The sequence below is a fragment of the Homo sapiens genome, chromosome 5, assembly GCF_000001405.40.
Source record: "Homo sapiens chromosome 5, GRCh38.p14 Primary Assembly".
NCBI classification, from domain to species: Eukaryota; Metazoa; Chordata; class Mammalia; order Primates; family Hominidae; genus Homo; species Homo sapiens.
Genome location: NC_000005.10, coordinates 122,568,951 through 122,591,769, shown reverse-complemented (window position 1 = coordinate 122,591,769; position 22,819 = coordinate 122,568,951). Strand labels below are relative to the sequence as shown.

General features: G+C 40.5%; 1 long non-coding RNA gene across 1 annotated transcript; it reads left to right on the top strand.

Moving 5' to 3' along the window:
- The first annotated feature begins 7,169 nt into the window (after nt 1–7,169).
- On the top strand, nt 7,170–10,271 carry LOC101927357 (uncharacterized). Its single transcript, NR_134281.1, has 2 exons — nt 7,170–9,329; nt 9,841–10,271. It is a non-coding gene; the product is annotated as an uncharacterized LOC101927357 (long non-coding RNA).
- The last annotated feature ends 12,548 nt before the right edge of the window (nt 10,272–22,819 follow it).

Genomic DNA, 22,819 nt, shown 5'->3' with positions numbered 1-22,819 from the left:
GATCTACCATCTGAGGACTACAGCCAAAGAAGGTAATGTTCCAGGACATATTCCAATGCCCCAGCAGCTTCTAGGAATGCACCTAGGAAGCCAGAACTGGGAGACTGCCTCTACCTCCCTATACAGGAAGTAGACATTGACCATGGGAAGAACATTTGCTCTAATAGTGAACATTAGAACAGCGTGGCCTTCATTGTGTGCTCTCTCCATGATTCATGCTGGCTGCTAATGTCAAATATACATGCAAGTGGTGTATATGTGCCACATTTTCTTAATCCAGTCTATCATTGATGGACATTTGGGTTGGTTCCAAGTCTGTGCTATTGTGAATAGTGTCACAATAAACATACATGTGCATGTGTCTTTATAGCAGAATGATCAAGTCAAATTGCTTTTGAAGACAGCAGGCTCACAGAGACTCAGGTTCTTTAATTATAAATTAAATTTTCTTTTTCCCAGAGCTGTTTGTGATATTTGTGTCTTTCCATTGGATTGATCCAAATATGGAGATCTGTTGGGTGAAATTGTTGAGAAATAGAGCAAGCCACTGACATCAATAAATGCTTCTGATCATAAGAGAAGATAAAATCCCTAAACAAGGAAAAAGCAAGTCAGATTTGAACCAACATGCTAAAAAGAAATCCTGATAGAAAAACCTTGAGTCTGTGTCTTTACTTCTGTTTTTACCATTGCAAATGGTTTAACGTAGAAAACTGGTTCTTACTGTTTTAAGGAACTACTCAATAATTATTCATATCAGGTGCACTTCAAATTTGGCAAGCTACAGGTGCTCTGATCACCAACCTGTAATTCTCATTGGTGAGAACCCTGCTTATGGCATAGAATCAGACCCTGCCACATACTCACTGTATGACCTGAGACAAGTTACTTAAATGGTCTGGCCCTTAGACTCCTCTGTTATAAAATGAGTATAACAACGGCCGCCTTAGAATGTTAGTGTACAGACTGTGAAAAGATGGGCGCACGTGCAGAGCATGCTGGCAGGCACATCTTAGCTGGCAGCTCTGGTTGCCACCACGTGAGCACTTCTCTTCTTCTGCGCATCAATAGAAAGGCATTTATGTAGGCCTTTGAGTGTTGGTGTGTGCTTCTTCATTGCTTATGTAAGGATATTAAGCCTTACTCCAATCAGGAACACAGCATTTCAGATCTAGCCTCAATAATTTTATCAGATTTCTGATTTTGTAGAAAAGTTTAAAAATGCCCATTTCCCCATGGGTTACAAAATAATAAGATTTTTCCCTGCTTTGCTATCTTTTCAGTTAGTTATTTCAGCATATCACAGCATTAAAACACTTCCAATGTAAAGGTCACTCTTTCTCCGATCAAAACATTTCTTTGCTGTTGTTCTCCCAGAGGTGCACTGGGGAACAACAATCAATAAGAGAAGCTCATGGAATGTTTTGACTTACCTTTGAGGAATAGCCATTAGGTCAACATGTAACGTCGTGGTTTTACCACCAATAATTTCTCTTAGAATGGCATTTTCTAATCATTGGGTGAAAAAACTTCAGTTGCAATAATAGGGTTCCATCAGGATCTTTTAAGATCTTTTCCAGAACTTTGACCTTAACATTTTTTTTTCCATTTTGGCATTTAAAAAATTATGTAATGAAAACAATTCCTGATGTTTCAGACTAAACAGATAAAACATTTTTCAATATATCAGCTGCAAAATAATTAAATATTGCCAATACACATTTACTTTCCCGTATTTCTTACTTTTTAATGTTTATGTATTTTCAACTACAAATATGGTGAATGGAGATGTATTCATTATTACAGTTCCTCATGACTTTGAAGAGTGACTTTCACCAGGGTTCAAAGACCAGAGCACAGATAACCTCTAAAGTTTCCCATCTTACTGAGAAATTAAGATAGGGTATATATAGTGAACTTCTTCTGAAGTAGAAGGGAATAACAAATATTTTTTAAAATAGGGCTACCGTGGGTATTTTAGCAGCACACAAACTGTAGGATTGTTAGTGTGTCTGTCTCCTTAGTCTGTAAGTTTGCCTGCAAAGCTCTGTGAAATCCCTTAGAAAGGTAAAGAATATGCTGTGGAGATCTCAAACGTGGATATGTACAATTTAAGTTGATATCTTAAGCATGACAATTTTAAATAATTCCTGGAAGCTTCATCAAGTAAATGTTACCCTCAGAAGTTCATTCATAAGCTATGATAGATGTGAAAAAGGCAAATAACATTGGAAAATTTAAAGCAAGACTTGCAGATAAACTCTGAAATAGTCCTGTGTGTTGTCTCTAAATTGCATCTCTCCACTGCTGGGCACTCAGAAATTATCTATTAGGATTAGGCCCATATATATGTGAATTGGTTTGAAGTCCACTAATCTTTTGTTTTAGGTAAGATTTTGTTTGAAATTGAGTTTTGTTTTTTAGCATGTGATATTTCATACATACAAGATGATATATGTATACCATGAGGCATGGTAATAAAATCAACACTAGCACAGCTACTACTCAACTGAAGACCACAAAAATTACTAATACTGTTATTAAAACTTAGGTGATGCTTCCATTCACATCCCCCTGCACTGCACCAACTCCTGGAGGTAAACACTCTTACATTTTATTTTTGTATAATTTTGAGCTTTATATAAATAGTATTATTATATGTATATATGTATCCATGTATGGATGGATGTGTGTATATGTTTTTCTGACTTGTTTTTTCATGTTTCATTATGTTTCAATATTATTATTGCATGAAGATAATATTTATTTTCACTGCTTTATAATAATTCATTGTGTAAAAGTTCCACAATTTATTTATTCACTCTCCTTTTAGTATACACTGGAAACATTTTCAGTTTTTGTTATCACAAACAGTGCTGCTAAAATGATTCTTGTACAGTTCTTTTGGTGCACATGGGCAACAATCTCTCTATGGTATATACCTGGGAGTAAAATTTCTGAGTCATTCAGATTTGAATGATAGAAAGCAATGCCAAATTAGTTTGTGAGAGATTCTACCAATATACCCTCCCCAGCTGGAGGCCTGCTTTGCCACCTGGAACACGAAGGTGCTGTGGTCATCTGCCTTGCCCCTCATTTGGAATAATTTTACTTTTACATTTTACTCAGATTCTGTGGCTAAAAGGACAAGTAAAACTTCTATATTGTGCTTCCTCCTGTAATAAGCGAGTAGAGGGAAAAAGCCTTTTACAGAGAAAGAATACACCACTGGTCATACATAATCTAATATTTATAAAGAAGGCAAAACCCCTAGTTATCTGGATGCTTGAGAACACCCAGAATCTCTCCCACAGTGGCATGAAGTAGAGAAACCACACAGAATTCATTGAAAAACAAATGGGTGTCCAGTGGAGTTGTGGCGGGGATCTCATGCTTCTTTCTCAGATAAAACCAGGTATTCAAAGTGGGACAACTTAAAGTCACACATCAAAATCTTAATTGTCCTACCTCACATATACCCTGCTTAAATAAATATGTCCAGAACCAGATCTCTAAATGTTTCTAGGTAGCTAAATTCTTTTTTACAAAATCTTCATTCCTTAGGCATGTTTGCAGAGCTGTATCTTCTCAGTACACATGTCAAGATGCTTGTGTTCAGTCCAGTCAAAACCTATTAGGAAAAACTTAATACTTTGATTGAAATTGAATTCATTTATGCCCATGTGAAACATGGCAAATAGCAACCCATAATAAATTTTCCCGTCCTTAACTGAATGAAAATAGGTTTTTATAATTGAATTTCTTTGATGTTTCTCACATTTGCATCCTGGGGAAAATGGAAAAATTTATTATAGGCATGGTATGAATTGCTCATCTGTAAAAAATATTTTAATAACAGAGGTTTCTACAATGACTAGGAAGGATAAGAAGATAAGAATAGGTTTGTCAGCCTTCTCTTATGACAAATTCAAGTAAGAAAAGGCACAACATTGGCTTTCTGTAAAGAGGATATTGGTAGAAATTTGAAGAAATCTGCAGGAATGGAGTGAGCCCTTGGATCCAAGAGTCTGAATCATTAGATTTACTTGATTTCCCATGAAGGGTACATTACAGAGGAACAGAATCTAGAACCTCTCCTTGAAAACCCATCAAGAGGTTTTGCATAGACTCAGTGACTGAAGTTTTTAGTTTTGACTCTAACCCTCATGACTATTTTGCTGAAGTATTTGCCATCTCTCTTGTCATTTTTCATAATGCTTATGTAGGGTAGGGCACTCAATAAATATTTGTGGAAAGAATAAATGATGAATGTAGCCAATTTCCCCATCCTTATCCTGTCACTACCATAATCTATGATGGAAAGTTAAAGTGCCAAAATGTCTGCAAAATTTTACACACAATCTTTTCTAGAGTTTCACATATGAAATTTACACATATCTGATAATAATGAAAACAACAACAGTGGGCATTTATTTCATGCCAATGAATGTTCTAGGTACTGGATTAGACACTTCATATTTAATATTTATAACAGGCTTACAAGTCAGGTGTCAGTATTTCCATTTTACAGATGAGTAAACTGAGACTCAAGAGAAAAATGACAGAGCAGCTGTGAAATAAAGATACCATGAACTGGGCTGTACTGCCTCTTATGCAAAAATGTGAAAAAATCCCTTCCAGTGTTTGGTTGGTGACTGAATTTTTTTTTTCTTTTGAATGAGTCTTGCTCTGTCACCAGGCTGGAGTGCAGTGGCATGATCTCGGCTCACTGCAACCTCCACCTCCCGGGTTCAAGCAATTCTCCTGCTTCAGCCTCCCAAGTAGCTGGGACTACAGGTGTGTGCTACCACGCCCAGCTAATTTTTGTATTTTCAGTAGAGACACGGTTTCACCATGTTGGCCAGGATGGTCTCGATCTCTTGACCTCGTGATCCTCCTGCCTCAGCCTCCCAAAGTGCTGGGGTTACAGGCATGAGCCACCATGCCTGGCTGGTGATTGAATTTTAAGGGAAATATTTGAAAAATTAAATATAATTTTGATTCAAAGCAAAAAGTATCTCATACATTTTATGTATTACAGGAAGTATTTGAATACTCAGTCACCCTGAAATAAATAGACATCAGAAATGAATACTAAGTTGTATTTATTACCAGAAATACATAGAAAAACTCAGAATACTCAGGGGAAAATAGGACACTGTGGTCATGTGCTGGTTGAAAAACCACATTGTCTGCCTAAGACATTCCTGAAATATTTAAATTATGAAATGTTTAAATTATTTAGCCCATGACTGAGCTGGAAAGAAATTGTGTTGTCTGGGTAAGCACTCACAGCACTCTGTATGGAGCTGAGGATTTTGCATGCGACAGGGACTTAGTAAGCCCAGGGAGCTGGCTGTCTCTCATTTCAGGACACCCTGTACATCCATCTATTTCATGAAGTTTTCCCATTGAAAATGACATGACAAAAACACAACTTCCCACAATCCCCCTTTCATTACGCACCTAACATTCACGTTTCTTTTCCTCTTAATTAAACATAGTTAATCTCTTCCCGATTTGGCCAACATCCTGCACTTTTTCAGTATTGGTTTGAGTGTGTATCTTGCTGAGACATGGCTAATTTCTGCTGGAACATAAGCAGCTAGGGGTTCCACTGCTGTCTAGCTCTGTCCAGGACAGCATTCTCTAAAGATAAGTGCCAAACACCATAATTACTTTATAAACTTTGGCAGTCACTGGCTCTTACCTTTGCCCTATAGTAGGACTAGAGATTCTAAAGTGCCATCCGTGAGCCTCGTCCTTTCCCCAGATTGGTTCCATGCTTGTAACTGGGACCAGCAAATGGCAAAATAAAGGACAGATACGGAGTACTTCTATACTGCGGCAAAATTTAGCTTGCTATCTTGAAAATAGTCATACTATTTTGGGATTTTATAGTAAACAAAATCCAGACAGCAGACCACAGGGGCCATTTATGAGTTATAAAATTGCCTGGGTAAGATAAGGCAACTCATAAATGATTCAGTGAAGCTCACAGGATAAATCTTATTCCTCATACGCACGAATCCAAGGAAGATTCTGTGATGCTCTTAGCCCTTGATAATGTAAGAGAGGAACACATGTCACATTAAGAACCTGACATGGCATTAGAGTGCTATAAAATGTTCAATTAAACATGGCAACTGCAGGACAAATGGTACCCAGGATACAGTTCTTTGTTTGCCTTTAAGAACTTTAATGTGTCTTATTTATTGAGGGCAAAGAACATAAGATAGTAAAGTGACAGCCTCCAACCCATCTGAAAATACTTGTGTTAGTGTCAAGACAAATAATAAATGGGGCTGCCTCAGGATCTTAGCCTTTTCATAAGATGGACAGAGTTGTGTTTGGTGGATTGCACCTTATGGAATTAGAGCCAACTTAAGGAAAACTGCTCCAGCATCTGTCTTCTTTCAAGCAGATTGTCAAGAGGCAAAAAGACTAGGGGAGGGGGAATAAGTGGAGTGGGGGAGAAGAGGAGGGAGAGTGAAAGGTGCGGAGGAGGAGAGAGAAGCAAGTAGGGACAGCTTGCATGTTTTAAACCTTCAAGATAAGCTGTCGCTTAGAACCTTGACGGCTCCAGAACTTGACACATGCGTTTGCTCTCTGGGGGCCTTTTCTTGCTGCTCTGTGAGCTGATCACGGCCACTGAGCTGTGACGCCCCGGCACTTGCCTGACCTGACATAATGGGCAGCTATTTACTGCAAACAAGGTAGATGGAAGAACATAGGCTTAAATGATGCTCTGGTGTAAGCAGGAATCCACTGGGATCCCTTGCAAACCAGTCCATCTTCTGGGTTTTTTTTTTTTTTTCCACCTCCTCTCCCCTCCCTCTTCTTCTAGGCTGGGACTATTTATTTCTTTCCCTCAGGACTAAACACAGATGTCTGACTCGGAGCAATGCTCTTCTTCCATCCAACCCCCTTCCCTTCCCACTCAAGATCAATACAGTGGGTTAGAGAAGCAATTACATGACAATAAATAAAATAGAAAACTAAGTTTGGATACTACCACTTCCAAAATGACTGTTTCTGGGTTGTTTTTATCCATTGCTAAGGAGAAAAAAAGAACAGCCCCAGGAGGCTTTCTGGTTATGCTGTCAGATCGCTTCAATGAGAAACCCAATCAGACTTGATTTGTGAAGTGTCAAAAGCTGCAGTGAATCATGTACACATCGTCGTCTATTACGTGAGGCTGTTGCTTTGCAAACTGAAGGCTCCTCATGCGTGTTTCTGAAGCTGAAGCTGGTGGATGTTTATTTTTCCTGCATCTAAGAACACACATTTGCACTCTCCATTTTCTGGTCAAGGGGAATGATCAAAATGGGAGCCTTGGTAGTGAATGTGAGTGAATGCACAACAAGGGGGATTTGCAGTTTTTGCCTCTATCCTCCAGACCTAAGCCCTTCATAATAGAGAAAATTATTAAAAAGTCTTTCTCCCATGGCATCCTACTTTTCAAAGAGCCAGAGATTTTATTTCTGTCATTGCATGTACTTCCAATTAACTGAAGCAAGAAGGCAGGTATACAAAGAGGAATCTAAGGCTCATTTGCCAAAGTCAGCACGTCAATAGCACAATTTTCTCTAAATTTTCTGACTTCCAAATTGGTCCCTTACAGTCACGGATTAAAAAAGAAAAGGAAAATCCTTTTCTTAAATCTTATAAATATTTAAATGGCACAAATAAGATTAAAAACTTTTTTGTCTTCAGCCTCCAGAGACTCAATGCATACCAGTTTGGCTGTGAATTTCTTTTTCTTTCTTTCTCTTTCTTTCTTTCTTTCTTTCTTTCTTTCTTTCTTTCTTTCTTTCTTTCTTTCTTTCTTTCTTCTTTCCTTCTTTTTTCTTTCTTCTTTTTTTTTTTTTTTGACAGTCTTGCTCTGTTGCTCATACTGGAGTGCAGTGGTGTGATCTCAGCTCACTGTAACCTCTGCCTCCTGGGTTCAAGTGATTCTCGTGCCTTAGCCTCCCAAGTAGCTGGGATTACAGGCATGTGCCACCAATCCCAGATAATTTTTGTATTTTTGTAGAGATGGGGTTTCACTATGTTGCCCAGGCTGATCTCCAACTCCTGGCTTCAAGTGATCTGCCCACCTTGGCCTCCTAAAGTGCTGGGATTACAGGCTTGAGCCACTGTGCCTAGTCATGCATTTCTTTACATAATATAAGAAGCTCAAAATGAGAAGCTTGGTTCCTGAATGTCTGACAAGAATGGAAGGTAAGTTCCTTTTGGAAACTGATACTGTTTTTGTTTGTTTGTTTGTTTGTTTTTTTTTAAGTAAAGCCTGCATTAGCTATAGAGGAAAGAAACATTGTATAATTTTATTATTAGATTGTAATAGCTTTGTTGGACCTTTATATCATGTTTAAGTATAAGGCCATGCGTCTTTTGCAAACAAGTTCATGAACCAAGAAAACCACCTTATAACTCCACCAACTCTCCTTATTCATTGTTTTAAATGCTTTTATAAATCTTTACTGTCACTTGATAATTATTTACAGTAACATGGAACAAAAGTGAAGCAGATATTTGAAATCTACAGATGACTCTACCTCCAATTCAGGTGATCCTTTCTAACTCATCTTTCCCCAGAACTATGAACTGGCAGTGAAATCACTTTGTTTCAGTATCATCTACTCCTTCTCTTGTGGGGATCAGTGCAGGTGGAAGGCAGGAGATTGAACAGGTTTTTATTTTTCTTTTCTTCCTTTTTTTTAAAATCCCTTATTAAAATTTTCTTTGTCGATTTCTTCTTACCATCTTCAGCTGAGTTCTTTGGCGGCTGACCATGGTTTTGCACAGTGGTAACACAAAGGCCAATTCTGTTTCTTTTTTTTAGGCTGCCGGGAATAATCTCATGTTTCTGGGCAACTTTCATATTTTCAAATACATTATTTCCAAAACTCTTATTATTATATCTACTTTAAGAAATTCCACTCTTGGCCATGAGAGTGATCTGTCAGCAGACTGGTCAGGGTACCTTTTCACCACTACAGTTTCACCCTGGAGTAATGGAATAAAGAAGACAGTGTTTGGGCACTGTGGTAGGAAAGGAAAATGGGAGTTTTATTATCCCCCACCTATAACTAAAACTCGTTAAACAATTATGTTTTATATTAGAATGTTAACTCTGTAAAGAACATGGTATGTGTTGCACAGAAAGGTAGAGTTTTAGGTCATTTTCTTCTTTTCTGACAAAAAGTTAGTCTTTCCTCAGTCCTGCAGGTGATGAGAACTCTGTATGGGACACCCATATCAACAGCTGGTAGACGACGCAGGACTCCGGAGTAGATGTGGCATTCTGCCTTCATATTATTCTCAATGTGCGTGTGATTTATTTCATAGGCTATACACACTGAAATAAGAAATGAGGAAGGTTTGAAAGTAGAATTTTGGGTCTACAGTGCTCTCCAGATGTACAGTGACATGCCACATGTGTTATCCATGTCCCCTCGCTCACCTGCCCTGCCACCTTGCATTCTTTGATACAGAAAGAACTACTTTCCTTGAAATGGAATTCAGATTTTTCTATTTGATGTAAAGCAGGCTTCCTCAACCTGAGCATCACTGACATTTTAAGCCAGATAATTTTTAAATTCTTTGTGGCGGTGGGCTGTGCCATGCATTGTAAGGCATTTAGCAGCATATCTGGCTGCTACTCACTAGATGCCTCCCCCAAACCTCCCCCAGCCACCCCCCTGCCAGAGGTGACTATTGTAAATGTGAAGACATTGCCAAATATCCCCTCGGGGCAAAATTGACTTTTGATTTTTGATTGAGAACCGATGAGGTAAAGTAATACATGACATTCACTTTAAGTTTCCCTCTTAACAGCAGACTGGTGTTTGAGTAACTCACAAAGAAGTTCAGAAGCCACTGCGCCAGCCACGGAGGTACACGGCTCAACTCTCCTTCCAGACAGAAGCTGCTGGGAGGAGCTCCAGCTACCACAGCAGTCATTCTGAGGCTACGCCTTCCCCAGGCTGCTTCTAGCCAATAACTCTGCACAGCAGGGAGACTGGAGGTGGGACATTTCTGCCAACATGGGACCCATCGAATGGCTCTCCTCTCTGGCTTGGCTAAAACATTCTCAGAACTGTACTGTCATCTGAGGCTCTTTGTACCCATTCCTCCTTCCCTCTTCCTCTTTTTTTCCCAGGTGTCAGACTTACATCATGGCCTGGGGATCTCACAGCCTTCACCTGCTTCCTCTCCTCTCTATGTTTCACAGACATTTCCCCAATAAATCTCATAAATCTCTTGTATTTCTAATTTTGTCTTGGATTTGCTTCCTGGATTACCCGGCCTGCTGCAGCTGCCATTGTGCTATTTTCTCTCCTTCTCCCCCGCCTCAATTTTATAATGCATAGTTTTATAAAAAGAAATAGCCTATGCTGGGCATGGGATGTGGGTTAAGGGTGGCAAATGAAGAGGTTCCTGGCTCTGTCTTCAAGGCCTTCTCTTAGCCTTGTGTGGGTGATGCAGAACTCTCAGGACTCAGAGATACCCTGCTGTTTGTGATTATCAGAGAGGGAGGGAAGGAAGGTAGAGAAGGCCTCACAGTAAAACATACAAAATGGTCAGGTGAGGATCTCTTTGATGTTACACACATAATATTTAGTTTTGTACTATCCAGGTTTTGTCAAATTGGAGCATGGATTAAAACAAAAATTTCTTTACACACTTTCTTGCACTCTAATTTTCAGTTTTCTACTTGGAAAAGCAACTTTACCTCTCAAGAGGATACTCTAAACCAAATGATTTTTTTTCCATTGAAAAATCAAAGGAAGCGTTAAAGGAGGTTTAGGGAAGCCGAAGAGGGGGAGGAAGAGAAAAGAAAAGAGGGAAGGTCAAACTCTTCGGTTCCTTTCCCCCAAGTTGTGAGTTATTCCCCCAGATCCCATATCAGAGAAGAAGGAGGATTGTAGATATGATAACTAGAAGGCCTATTTATGCAACAATCAATTTTTTTTTTTTTTTTTTTTTTTGCAAAAAGAATGAACTATTTTGTTTGGGCATTACATTCTTAGTCAAAATATTTAACAAACATTTGAGAACCATCTGTGTGCTAAATTCTGCTAATTGTTGGTGATAGATGGAAACAAATAGGGTGTGCCTTTATAGAACTTAAAGTCTAATGGGAAATAAAAACAAATAGGAAACTATAATTCAGTTTGATACGTGATCTTGAAGGAAGCTATGGGGAAACAGAGGAGGTACTAACTGGAGACAGGTGGTATCCAGGAAACACCTCCTTAGAGGTCTTAGATCTGAAGAACGAAGAGTTGCAGGGGTGAAGCAGTAGACAGAAGAGATTTTCAAGTAGAGGAAGCATCATGTACAAATGTCCACAGGCGGGAGTTCATGTTCATGAAAGCAAAAATAATTATTGTGGCTGGAGTATGTATGGTGGAGTAAGATGTTCAGGGGAAAGACCTAGGAAAGCTGTATTAAACAGTTTGTACTGGCCTCTAATCCCAGCACTTTGGGAGGCCAAGGTGGGAGAGCTGCTTGAGCCCAGGATTTGGGCAGCATATTGAGAACCTGTCTCTACAAAAAATTAAAAAAAAAAAAATAGCTGGGACTGGTGGCCCATGCCTGTAGTCCCAGCTACTCAGGAGGCTGAGGTGGGAGGATCGCTCAAGTGGGGGAGGTTGGGCTGCACTGAGTTGTGATTGTGCCATAGCACTCCATCCTGGGCAACAGAGTGAAACCCTGCCTCAAAAACAAGCAAACGTACTTTATTCTGAGGGCAATGGAGAAGTAAGGAAGCCTCTGGGTTTCGAAAACCCACTGTATTTGTGATGAGGGAAAGGATTGATTAGGGCAATAATGGAGGCAGAATGGTCTGGTGTGGACTGTTGCCATAATCCAGGTGAGAGATGATGGTCAGATATGTCTGTAACTGGGGATACAAGTTTCAGTATTGGGAGGTAGTGTTGACAATTTTGGTTATGGGGTGGGGGTAAGGAGAAGAGGGGATATAGGTTTCACGTTTGGCAAATGAGATTGAAAACACAAGAAGAGGCAGAATTTTGGGAAAATATAATGAGTTTAATTTGTGATTTCATGTGATTTAGGGGCTTATGGGACAATCAAGCAAATCTGGAGCCTGGTAGAGAGATATAGCAGATTTGAATTTGTGAGACATCAAAATGTAGATGGAAATGGAGGGTGTGTGTGTGTGTGTGTGTGTGTGTGTGTGTGTGTGTGTTGGGTGGTGTGGAGTGTGGAGATAAGCCATTCTGGGGCAGTGTGTGGAACATTGAAGGACCAAGCAGAAGTGGACCTTGCCCAAGAAATCAAAGGGAGAAGTCAGAGAAGTGTGAGGAAATCACAAGAACTCTGGAGGGAGGTCAGGTAAGAAGGGGCTGAAGAGGCGCCATTAACTAAGCAGCTGCAGCACCCAGAGGCTTCCATGAGAACTGGGTGGATGGCGAGCACAGGATTCTGGGGCCAGTGGCTGAGGAAGTGGGAAGACAGGAAGGGGGACTGTGCAAAGAAAAGAGAGACCCTGGCAGAGAAGACGGTGATGTCAGGGTAGTGTTTGCTCAAGAGACGGGAGTGAACTGAGTATAGTCAGATAGAGATGGAAATGAACCAGGAGAGAGAAAGCGGTTGAAGGCATGGGGAGAGAAAACACTTTGATGTGAGTGATCTTCTGAAAATTCCAAATCAAATCATGTTACTCTTCAAAGTAAAATAAAACAAAACAAAACATCCTCCAATAGCTTTCATTTGCATGTGGAGTATGAATCCGGACTCCTTTCCCTGGCCTGAAAGATCTATCCCCTGCCTGCTCCTATCCTCTCATTTCCTATCACATTCTCTCCCTTGCTCACAGTGATTTTGCAGTCCCTGCCTTTCTTGCTGTTCCCCAAGCACTCTGAAGTAGTATCGCAGTAGTGCCTTTGCAAGGAGTCGTTTTTACTTTGTGAGGTGGGCTTTTCACAGCTTTTTGCATAGCTGGCTCTGTCACTCGGGTCTCAGATTGCTTGTTATATCCCGAGTGGAGCCTTTTCTGACACACAACCTAAAAGAGCCTCTAGTTAGTGCCCACCACATCATCCAGTTTGATTTTCATCATAGAATTTTTCATTGATTTTTTGAGTGTATCTGTTTCCCTTCATCAGAATAAGCTTCTGATGGGTAGGGAACAACGTCTTGTATAAGATTGCATTTCCACTGTCAACAACAGGGCCTGAAAAAAAAATGGGTGGAAATTGGACTCCCAACCTCTGGGAGAGAGAACTGACAAGGAAACAGCAGAAATGCCAGGCAGTCCTTAGACGTGGTTACGAGTGGAAACATTGGATATAAAGAGAAACCATTTTTCATTGCTGTGTGATCAGTGGCCTTAGGAGGTACCAACAAGGCTGTCACTTAAGTAGATACAATGTCTGTGGTTTTCCAGAACAAGTAATAGGACAAAAGGGTGAGGGGGTCGATGCTAGATGCTATCGCCAAGAGTGTGTTTGAAGTGACAGAGTAAGTATTTGAAGGTAAAAGCAGTCCGGGCACGGTGACTCGCACCTGTAATGCCAGCAGTTTGGGAGGCTGAGGCAGGTGGATCACTTGAGGTCAGGAGTTTGAGACCAGCCTGGACCAACATGGTAAAACCCCGTCTCTACTAAAAGTACAAAACTTAGCCGGGCATGGTGGCAGGTGCCTATAATCCCAGCTACTCGGGAGGCTGAGGCAGGAGAATCACTTGAAACCAGGAGGCAGAGGTTACAGTGAGCCAAGACTGTGCCACTGCACTTCAGCCTGGGTGACAGAGTGAGACTCTGTCTCAAAATAAATAAATAAATTAATTAAAATAAAAAAGAAGGTAAAAGCAGAGGTTCAGTAGGCTGGAGTTGAAGAATGGGTGGTATAGGAGCAACTGATGAGAGAACTGTTAGAAAAGGAGATTGAGATCAGGAAAAAATGTGTGAATGTTTGATTTCAGAGGTGGAGAAGTTCTAGGTGATGATACATTCCAGGTTGTGGCTGGATACATTCCAAGCAGATGGCAGAATAGACTGGCCCATTGGAGGTAAGGTCATTGGAGATGAAGAAGTGAAGTAGCCCCAAGGCTAAGAAGTGGGATGGTCTATTTTTCATGGACACTAAAGGTACCTAGAGTGGTGATTGAGCTTGGAGTGGAGAGGGAGAGGCTAAGCCAGACACCAAAATCTACAGCAAATGAAACAAGTGATTGGTAGGCTAGTACGGAACAGCGGTTAGAAGGGTGGTATAACCACATTGCTATGTCAAAGATGCAGGGGTTTTTTATGAGAGAGGAAATAATCCTGAGAAGTGAGGAGGATGCTCTCCCACCTCCTGACCCTGAGATGCAAGGAATGAGGAAATAAGTGTCCTTTCCCCGGAGCCATGAGTTTAGAAGAAAGCCAGGCTTCTTGCTCTGACCAGCTGGGAACAGGACAGTTAGGGAAGTGATTAAAGATATAGGAGCTCTTTATTAACCATGGGATGGAGGTTTCTAGGCTCATTAGAAAGACTGGATCAGTGCATGTAGGAAGGACAAAAGAAAAGCAGCACAGAGCAGCAGTGGGGTGAGGGTATACAAAAGGAAAATAACTGGAGCTCGCAATCTATGCCTTGAGTAGTAACAAAGATACTAGAGATGTGAGGCACTGTGGCTTATCTGAACATGCTGGTTTATCTGGGAAAATAGAAGTCAGTTGAAACCCAGAAGTCAGTTGAAACCTGGTTGTATTGCCTTTCTGTAGGAGCATTTCCTTTGTGCTCAGGAAAACTCTCATCTTTCTGGAAAAAGCATATTTTGGCTGGATTAATGGTATGAGCTCTGGGAAAAGACTCCTCACCCCAGACTCTTGGAACCAAATTCCTGTGTCCCAAAGCTGGCTTAGGCAGAAAGCCCCCTGGTCAGAGTGCTGGTCTCTGGGAGATCAGGGTAGGACAAGCCTACTCTTGTTTTACAAGTCCACCTGGACCCAATCCCCTCCTGGGGTGAGGCCACCTGGTATCGTATTGTTGGGTGATATGCAGCTTTGACCAGCAGGGTGATGTGAGGTGATTCTTATGAGTATTAGCCCCTTCTTCTACAAAATTTGTCACGCAATATTGACTTCCAACTAGCTGGTCCTCCCTGGCTTGGAGGAGATTTCTACTTTGTTTCTTTACCAAAGATTTATATTTGGTTGTAAATGAATCACATAGTTTTTGGTAATTCAAACTATTTCACAGCACTGGACAAAGGAATATATAAAACACATTTTCTGCCAGAACATACACAGGAGTTATGCAGCAAAACCTCAATGAAACAGCAAGTAGGCAATTTTAGCCACGGTGCTGGAAAGAGGGACACAGAGAGGGATGTTTGAAGGACAAGCAGAAAGTATGCATTAAGGAAAGAACTGATTGCTGCTGAGGAGACAGCTTCTGGGAAGCTTCCAGGCCAGAAATATTTCCTTTTTTGTTAAAAGATAGGGTATGATCTACAAACATTTGCTTCCAACTGGTGAGGAAATAGATAAGTGGATGGTTTTTGCATGTGCAGGGACCTGGGGCAGGCTTATGTACTGAACCTGAGAACCATGCTTCTGTTTTGATTTCTTTTTGCATTAGCACAGCTTTCTATGACAGTAGTGAGAAGTTGTCATAGCTAATTAGTTGAAGAACTCATAACAGAGACTGCACTTTTATTAATTATAAGCAGAGAGATATAAAATTCCCAGTCATTATAAGGAAGTGACCACTTTAATGTGGCTTCATATAAATCAGCATGTCATGGACTAGCCTGAACCATAAAAATAGATGGTGGATTTATGACTCGAGAGGCATTTAAAAAAAAAGATGGTAGATGATCTGGACAAAGGTTAGTGACAGAAGGGGACATAGCCTTTCCCTCAGCTATATGTGGGGAAAGTTTGGAATTGACATAATTACTCTGTTTGTATGTCTATTTATTATTCATGAACATTTTGTGTATGTATGTGTGCATGTACATGGCCAATAGAATGAAGTAAAGTGGCATGTCGAACTTTAGTCTAGGCCTCAAGAGGCCTTGTTCCCTCAGGACCTCTGCCTCCACCACGTGAGCAAGCCCACCAGCCCTGATAGAGGTTGAGAGCCCACAGGAACCAGAGTCCAATCAGCCAGTTGTCCCAAGCAAGGACACAGACATGCAAGAGACCCCAGCCAACATCACTAGGTCTATCTTCCTAACCCACAGCTGACTCTTATGAGTCCAGTTGAGATCAACCAAACCTGGCACAGATCAGCAGAACCACACACCTGACCTGTAGACTTGTGCAACGTTAAATGGTGGTTGTTTAAGCCACCAAATATTTTTTTTTTTAACACAGCAATAGACAACTGATGAAGCACTATTCATGTGTGCTCCTTGTTAACCTTACAGTTGTGGTGGGTAAATCATATGAACACACAAAAATATAATTTTGACCAGAAAGAAGAAAACAATTAGAGTGGGCTCAGGTAGTAAAACGATACACAAAGGAGAGAAGGATTTGGGGTGGATCTGAATGGTCATGCAGACTCTAACTTGGGTCTGGATTGGGACTCCTTTCCTGTAACATAACTAGACAGGAGGCTGTGTGGGTGTGTGGAAGCCATTCCAGGCAGAGGAATAATACCTGTAAATGTGCAGAAGGGAATGAGAACACAGTGAGGGAGTGGACAGTGACAAGATAGGATTCCCTGGAATGGGTGGCTAGGAGAATACCATAGTGGCCTGCAAGGGCGGGGGGGGGGAGAGAGGGAGAGAGAGAGAGAGAGAGAGAGAGAGAGAGAGTGTGTGTGTGTGTGTGTGTGTGTGTGTGTGTGTGAAGGGGAACAACTGAGCCTTACCTAATCATATATAAAACCATGTGGCTTGTTGCCACAAGTGTATTATAGATCTAATCTCTGTTGACAATGTTTTCTGAGAATTCCATCTCCTGCAATGTTTTATCAAGAGCACTTGTGAATGGTCAGTTCTGTATTTCCCATTTGGCTGTATTTTCCTAGTGTCGTGTCAGAGCCCAGGCTCAAAGCAGCATCTTCTACTCTCCAAAGTAGCCATGGCTCTGTGTGCCAGAAGCATCTCTGCCAGGAAAACTACATTCATGCTCATTTTTTTTTTTAAGGAACTGATTGTAAGTCACAGATGACATTCATACTTTTCCATTTTGATTTTCTCTAAGAATTCAGACAGAGGTGGGCAAAGAGCTGCTGGTGCTAACAAGCAGCTTCTCTACAAGGTATTGGGACTTCCTACTGCATCTGTTCTTCCTCTCTGTAACTGTTGTTGCCATGGCCAAAGTGCCAGCAATCAGTTATGGCCAAGGCTTTTTCCTCTACTAATGGATCTTCTCTAGTAGCGTCTTGGTAGCAAGGATCCCAGAAAAGTATAACTCCTTACATTATTTCTCAAACACAAAAAGTGTTTTGCTCTCTAGTGGTATTAAGAGCACAATCCAAGATGGCTCTCTATCACTACTGTATCATTCCATCGCTCTGAAAGATTTCTTCATTGTCTAACTTGAATCTTTTTTGAAGCAACATTAATGAAAGGAGCCAACATTTTCCAATAGTGAGGATTCATTTTGCTCTAAATGTAAACAGTGTGAGCTGATAGAATTGCAATCTAGAATTCTTCTAGCCAGAAATGGCCTACAGCATTCCTTTTACCCCCCTTTTTTCTTCTTGCTCTGCCTCTTTTGTTGTTGTTTTTTAAAATATATTTTTTTGAGACAGGGTCTCATTCTGTCACCCAGGCTGGAGTGCAGTGGGGCAATCACAGCCCACTGCAGCCTAAACCTCTTGTGCTCAAGTGATCTCCTGCCTAAGCCTCCAGAGTAGCTGGAACTAGAGACGTGTGCCAGCATGCCTGGCTAATTTTTATTTTTTATTTTTTGTAGATAGGGGAGTCCCACTATCTTGCCCCAGCTGCCCTCAAAGTCCTGGGCTCAAGTGATCCTCCCACCCTGGCCTCCCAAAATGCTGGGATTATGGGCATGAGCCACTGCTTCCAGCCCTTGATCGGCCTCTTGCTACAGCAGGTGTTTTTTAAGGAACCTGTGGGAAAGGCCGCCTCCAGACTTTTTCCATTATTTTAATTACCTATTACCACTACTCTGCAATCTCAAAAACAAAAATAGCGAAGGGTTAATAAGGAGGTGAGTTTTGTGGAGGAGGACAAAATACTTACATGGTGTCTGTATGTTAAAGCTATTTGTCCCAGTTTGGTCTAAGCCCTGTCTACTCAACCTATAGCTCAGCTTTTATTGCACTCCCAGTTACTGTTTGTGTTTCAACCACTCTGGCTTATTTGAATTCCTAGAACTGCACTAGTCCCTCTTGCCATGTGTGTATGACTGAAATATTCTCCCTTCTCTCACTGTCCTTCCTACATTTCATGTGTCAGTAATTATTTTTTCCAGGTCTTAGCTTAGTTATTACTTCTTTAGTTAAGTCTCCCTTAAATTCTCAGTTAGGGGTAAAATTTCCCAATGATTAGCTCTCATAGTACCAGTTACCTCTCATTTGGAGCACTTACCCAATTTTCAAATTTCAATTTATTTGGGTTTATCATCTGATTAATGCCTCTCTTTCATATTAGACTGAATGATCCATGAGGGCAAAGATGTCTTTTTTTTTTTTTTATTCCTTGTTACATCCACAGCGCCTGGCACAGAGCCCGTGCTCAATAAATAGATGTTGAATGAATGAATGAATGAGTGAATCCTAGGATTTTTCTCTGAGAAAGGACATGGAATACCCACTTTGGCTGGATCTTCAGAGATTTCTCCTGTATACAGTACTTGCCAAGACTATCTACTGATGCCTGAAAAATGATAAGGGTATCTGGATTTACGGAAATTTGTAGATTCCGTTTTTTGCTCAGCAGATATCGTGGAAATTCCTCTGTGATGAGGTTTACCAAATGCTTTCTTGAAATACTTGTGGAACAAAATTGCAGTTTGGGCTTTCATCTTCCTTAAACTGTACAATTAACTACTGATTTTTCCCTTAAGGATTTGGATAATGGAAATTTTCCTTTAATTTTTCTTCCAGCCCTCCCTCTAAATTTCATAATAATGAATGATGCACCTCAAAATCTAAATGCCAAACAATGGAAATTACAGAAAGTACTTGATGTTAGAAAAAGGAAGAATGAACTCCATAAACGAACATTGTTTTAGTTAGAGGAGTTTTTCTAGTGTGATTGAAAACACATTTGCACTGTGAATTTAGGATGTTAAGTTCAGATATCACAAAGTGATTTCAACACCGGAGATGATCCAAAGAAGACTACAGTTGATTTCGCATGACTCCAGGTAACTCAAATGAACCACAGATTATATTCTGGCAACCTTCAGGCAGACTTAGGCAGAAAAAAATGGACTCTTTACTCTGCATACTCTCATTTTAAGTATTCAAGGTCTTCTTTGAATAGATCTACAGTGAATAGTCAAAGTCATTTCAGCCCTGGCACTGTCTTGTTAAGCCATGTGGCCTACTGTAACGCATCATTGCCACTGTCACTGACTCTGAAAAATGAGCATTCTAAAACCTATAGCTCCCTTAGCCTGAATAATTTGGCAGTTCTAGACCCAGGGTGCTCCAATGCTGGTAGGTTTTCCTCAGTTTTCTGCTCTGGCAATTAAATACTTAGGACTTTACGAGAACTCTTAGAGTCATTTGTTGCTCTGAGCAAATGATTAAAAAACTGGGGCAGAACCTCCTCAAGGACCACAGTTCAAGGGGAGTCAATGTTAAGATTAAAGTCAGGAGCTTGTCTTTGACTCAAGGCCCATCCCCAGCACTGCCTTGGCACCCTGGCCCAGAAAACCCAATCTCTTCTTCTGTCAGGTGCATAGTGCAGGTAGCCTGCTTCCTTCTTTCCTCTCCTTTTGTTCTACCTGGGTTGCTGTTCTCTCCTTGCACAAACAAGTGCTTATGCTAATAGCAAGATATAGCCCAACCTTAAAAAGGGTGTAGTGATCAGTATCCATCATCTTTCCAAGTGCCTTGTCACTACATCAATTAATACAATTGAGCAAAAAATGTCACAGGCCCGGTGGAAAAACCTTTTCACAGCCTTTCAGGGGGAAGTTTACTTCCAGCTTTTTTCCCTTGCATTAGCTCCTGTCATCTACAAAACAACAGAACCCAGTGGTGTCAATTATATTTGATTGACTGAGTAAAGCACACACACAAATAAGCGAAAACAATGGACACAAAAATCTATATATGACTCCCCTTGTCAGAGAGAATGCTTGTCTCCTCCATTTTCATGCGGCACGGTGTCCTGCTGCTCTTGGCTTAAATGTTTCCTTCAGCCCCCAAACTATCACCAATTAAGTTAGCAGGGTCTTCAAAGGTGTCAAACGACTCCCTAGGCAATCGGCTCTAACTGCTGTTCAATAAATGAGGTCTAATTTATCAGTTTAACTTCACTTCTAAAAACCTAATGCTTCACAGTGCTGGGCTCCATTTACCTACGGTGTGAGGCGCTGCGGCAGACAGCATGGAGGGTGAAAGCTATGGCGCATCTCCTAACAACAGCACACTTTGTTGGGTGTATTTTTTCCCCTGATTTCAATGTGCACTTCCTAGTTTTATACTTTTTGCACTTACCTTGTACACATGTGTATGCAGAATCCCCATGGGCCATCGTAAAGCTCAGTCAGGACTCCCTTTGAGCTGACAGTTTTAGCCACGGTCTAGGAGAAGCACAACCCTTCTCTCTTTGTCATGTTGTGCCTTTGTGTTGTCACTATGTGGAGATTCACATTTTAAAAAACTCTGCGAGGCTAACTTTGGCAGCAGAACAGGAGTTAGTAAGTGCTCAGATTCCTAACATAGACATGAATGTATAGACTCTTGCTCCTAAATAGATTAAATAGGTACTGATTTGGCAAAAAGGACCAGTTAAGTAGAAAGTCTTACAAATAAACGGAACAGAAATTTTAATGGGCAGTTTATGAGTGAAAGTTATTCAAATCCATCAATGAGACATAAAAAGCTATTTTAAAGCTCAAACTTGCTAACCACATTAGAATTGCTCATAATTAATACATCTTAACATCAAATAAAGACAATGAGTCTTTATCTTAAAATATTTTTGATAAATTTAGACAGAGTTAGATGGAGACTTGATGAGACAAACAAAAACCGAACCAAAAAAATATCACCAAACAAAAAGCTCTTGTAAGAATATTGGTTTATATGCAGAATAAGATTATATATGAAATTGAGGCTTAGGTGACTGGGCAGTATCATGTCTTAAGTGAGATAGCTGCAGGGTGCCTGATTATATGGTGACTGTGGAGATGTTTTCATTGTAATGGGAAGACACCCCATTTGCAAATATTTCTAAATTTTCACTCTATTTCAGCCAAGGAGTAACTAGAATTTGAATAAAAATCACACTTGTAAGTAAATTTACATCATTCATTCTGGAGTCTCCACATTTTTCCATGGCCTTGAAATATTTCTTAGGGATACCCACACATGATATGTATTGTGGTCAATATTTTATTATTGATTTCTTTTCCCTGTTGTCTCTGTGAGCACATTAACTTTGCCCTAATTCACCTGAGGAATCCATCTGCCTAGAAGAAAATTAGGATTTGGTTACAGAAAGAAAGCCAGTAGAACATACTCTTCAGCTCCTGACATGCACACTAGAATTTTACAGCACGAAGAATAATCATATAAACAAGGCTTGGGATGGTATTTTACAGATTCTGTTGTTTCCCCTTTAGCATATCAACAATGAGGAGAATCCAGCTCATGAAGTTCTCTCATGTTTAGAGAAGATCTGCCTCCCAAGATAGCTAGAAATGTTCTATGGTCATATTCTTCTCCCAGGAGAAGACAAGGAAACACTTCTCTTTGTCTGCCTTTCTGTCTCTCATTAGATAACCTGTTGGAGAAAGGGAACATTTGAAAAGAGAGTAGAGTTTCACTCTCCATGCTTTGGCCAGGAGAGGGGGAGTCATGTGAGATAAGAGAGTATAATGGTGGAGGAAGAGGGAGCAAATACACAAATTCAACTGGGAGGGGCAGGATGGTCAACTGGAGGGATTTAGCTGTCATGACATTTAGTTTCATTGAGTTGTTCTCACTTTCCAACTTCTGTCCCACACCTGCCATTTAAACCTTTCTGGTTGCTCCAAACTCTACAGATTCCCCCCACCACCTACCACCTCCAACTCCTCTTTCTCTCATAGTCAATGTGTATAGTGCAGAGCTTGGTTACTTTCCATTAGTGTTTTCTATGGTAGCCCTAAATCTCCAGTAGTTTGCTAATTTATTGACTTCAGGGATCATATTTTATACTTTTATGTAAAAGCACAGACTATAGAGTCAAACAGATATCTCTTTGACTCCATACTCTGCTACTTGTCAGTTGTGAAACATTAAACTGATTTCCTCATCTGAAAATTGGGATAATACTTACCCTGTGGAATTGTTTTGTGAATCAAGTGAATTAGTTTATGTAATAGCTTTAATCCAGGAATTGAACTTTTCCTACTCAAAAAATATTTGATGATTTCCCATTCACTCATGAAAAAGAAATCCAAAAACATTATCATGCATGATCTAGCCCCTGCCTACTTTTCCAGTGCCATCTGCCTCCCTTCACAAAATGAAACCTTAAGCATGTTAAACTTCCACATGTCTGTGAATGTGTCATGCTGTTTCATGCCTCCATTCTTTTCGGGTTATTCTTCCTCTGCCTGAAAAAACCTGTAAGTATCGCCTCTATGCAGCTGCAGCCTTCCCAAGACAGAACTGATCTTCCTCCTTGGGAGCATTCCTGTAGCCTATTTTC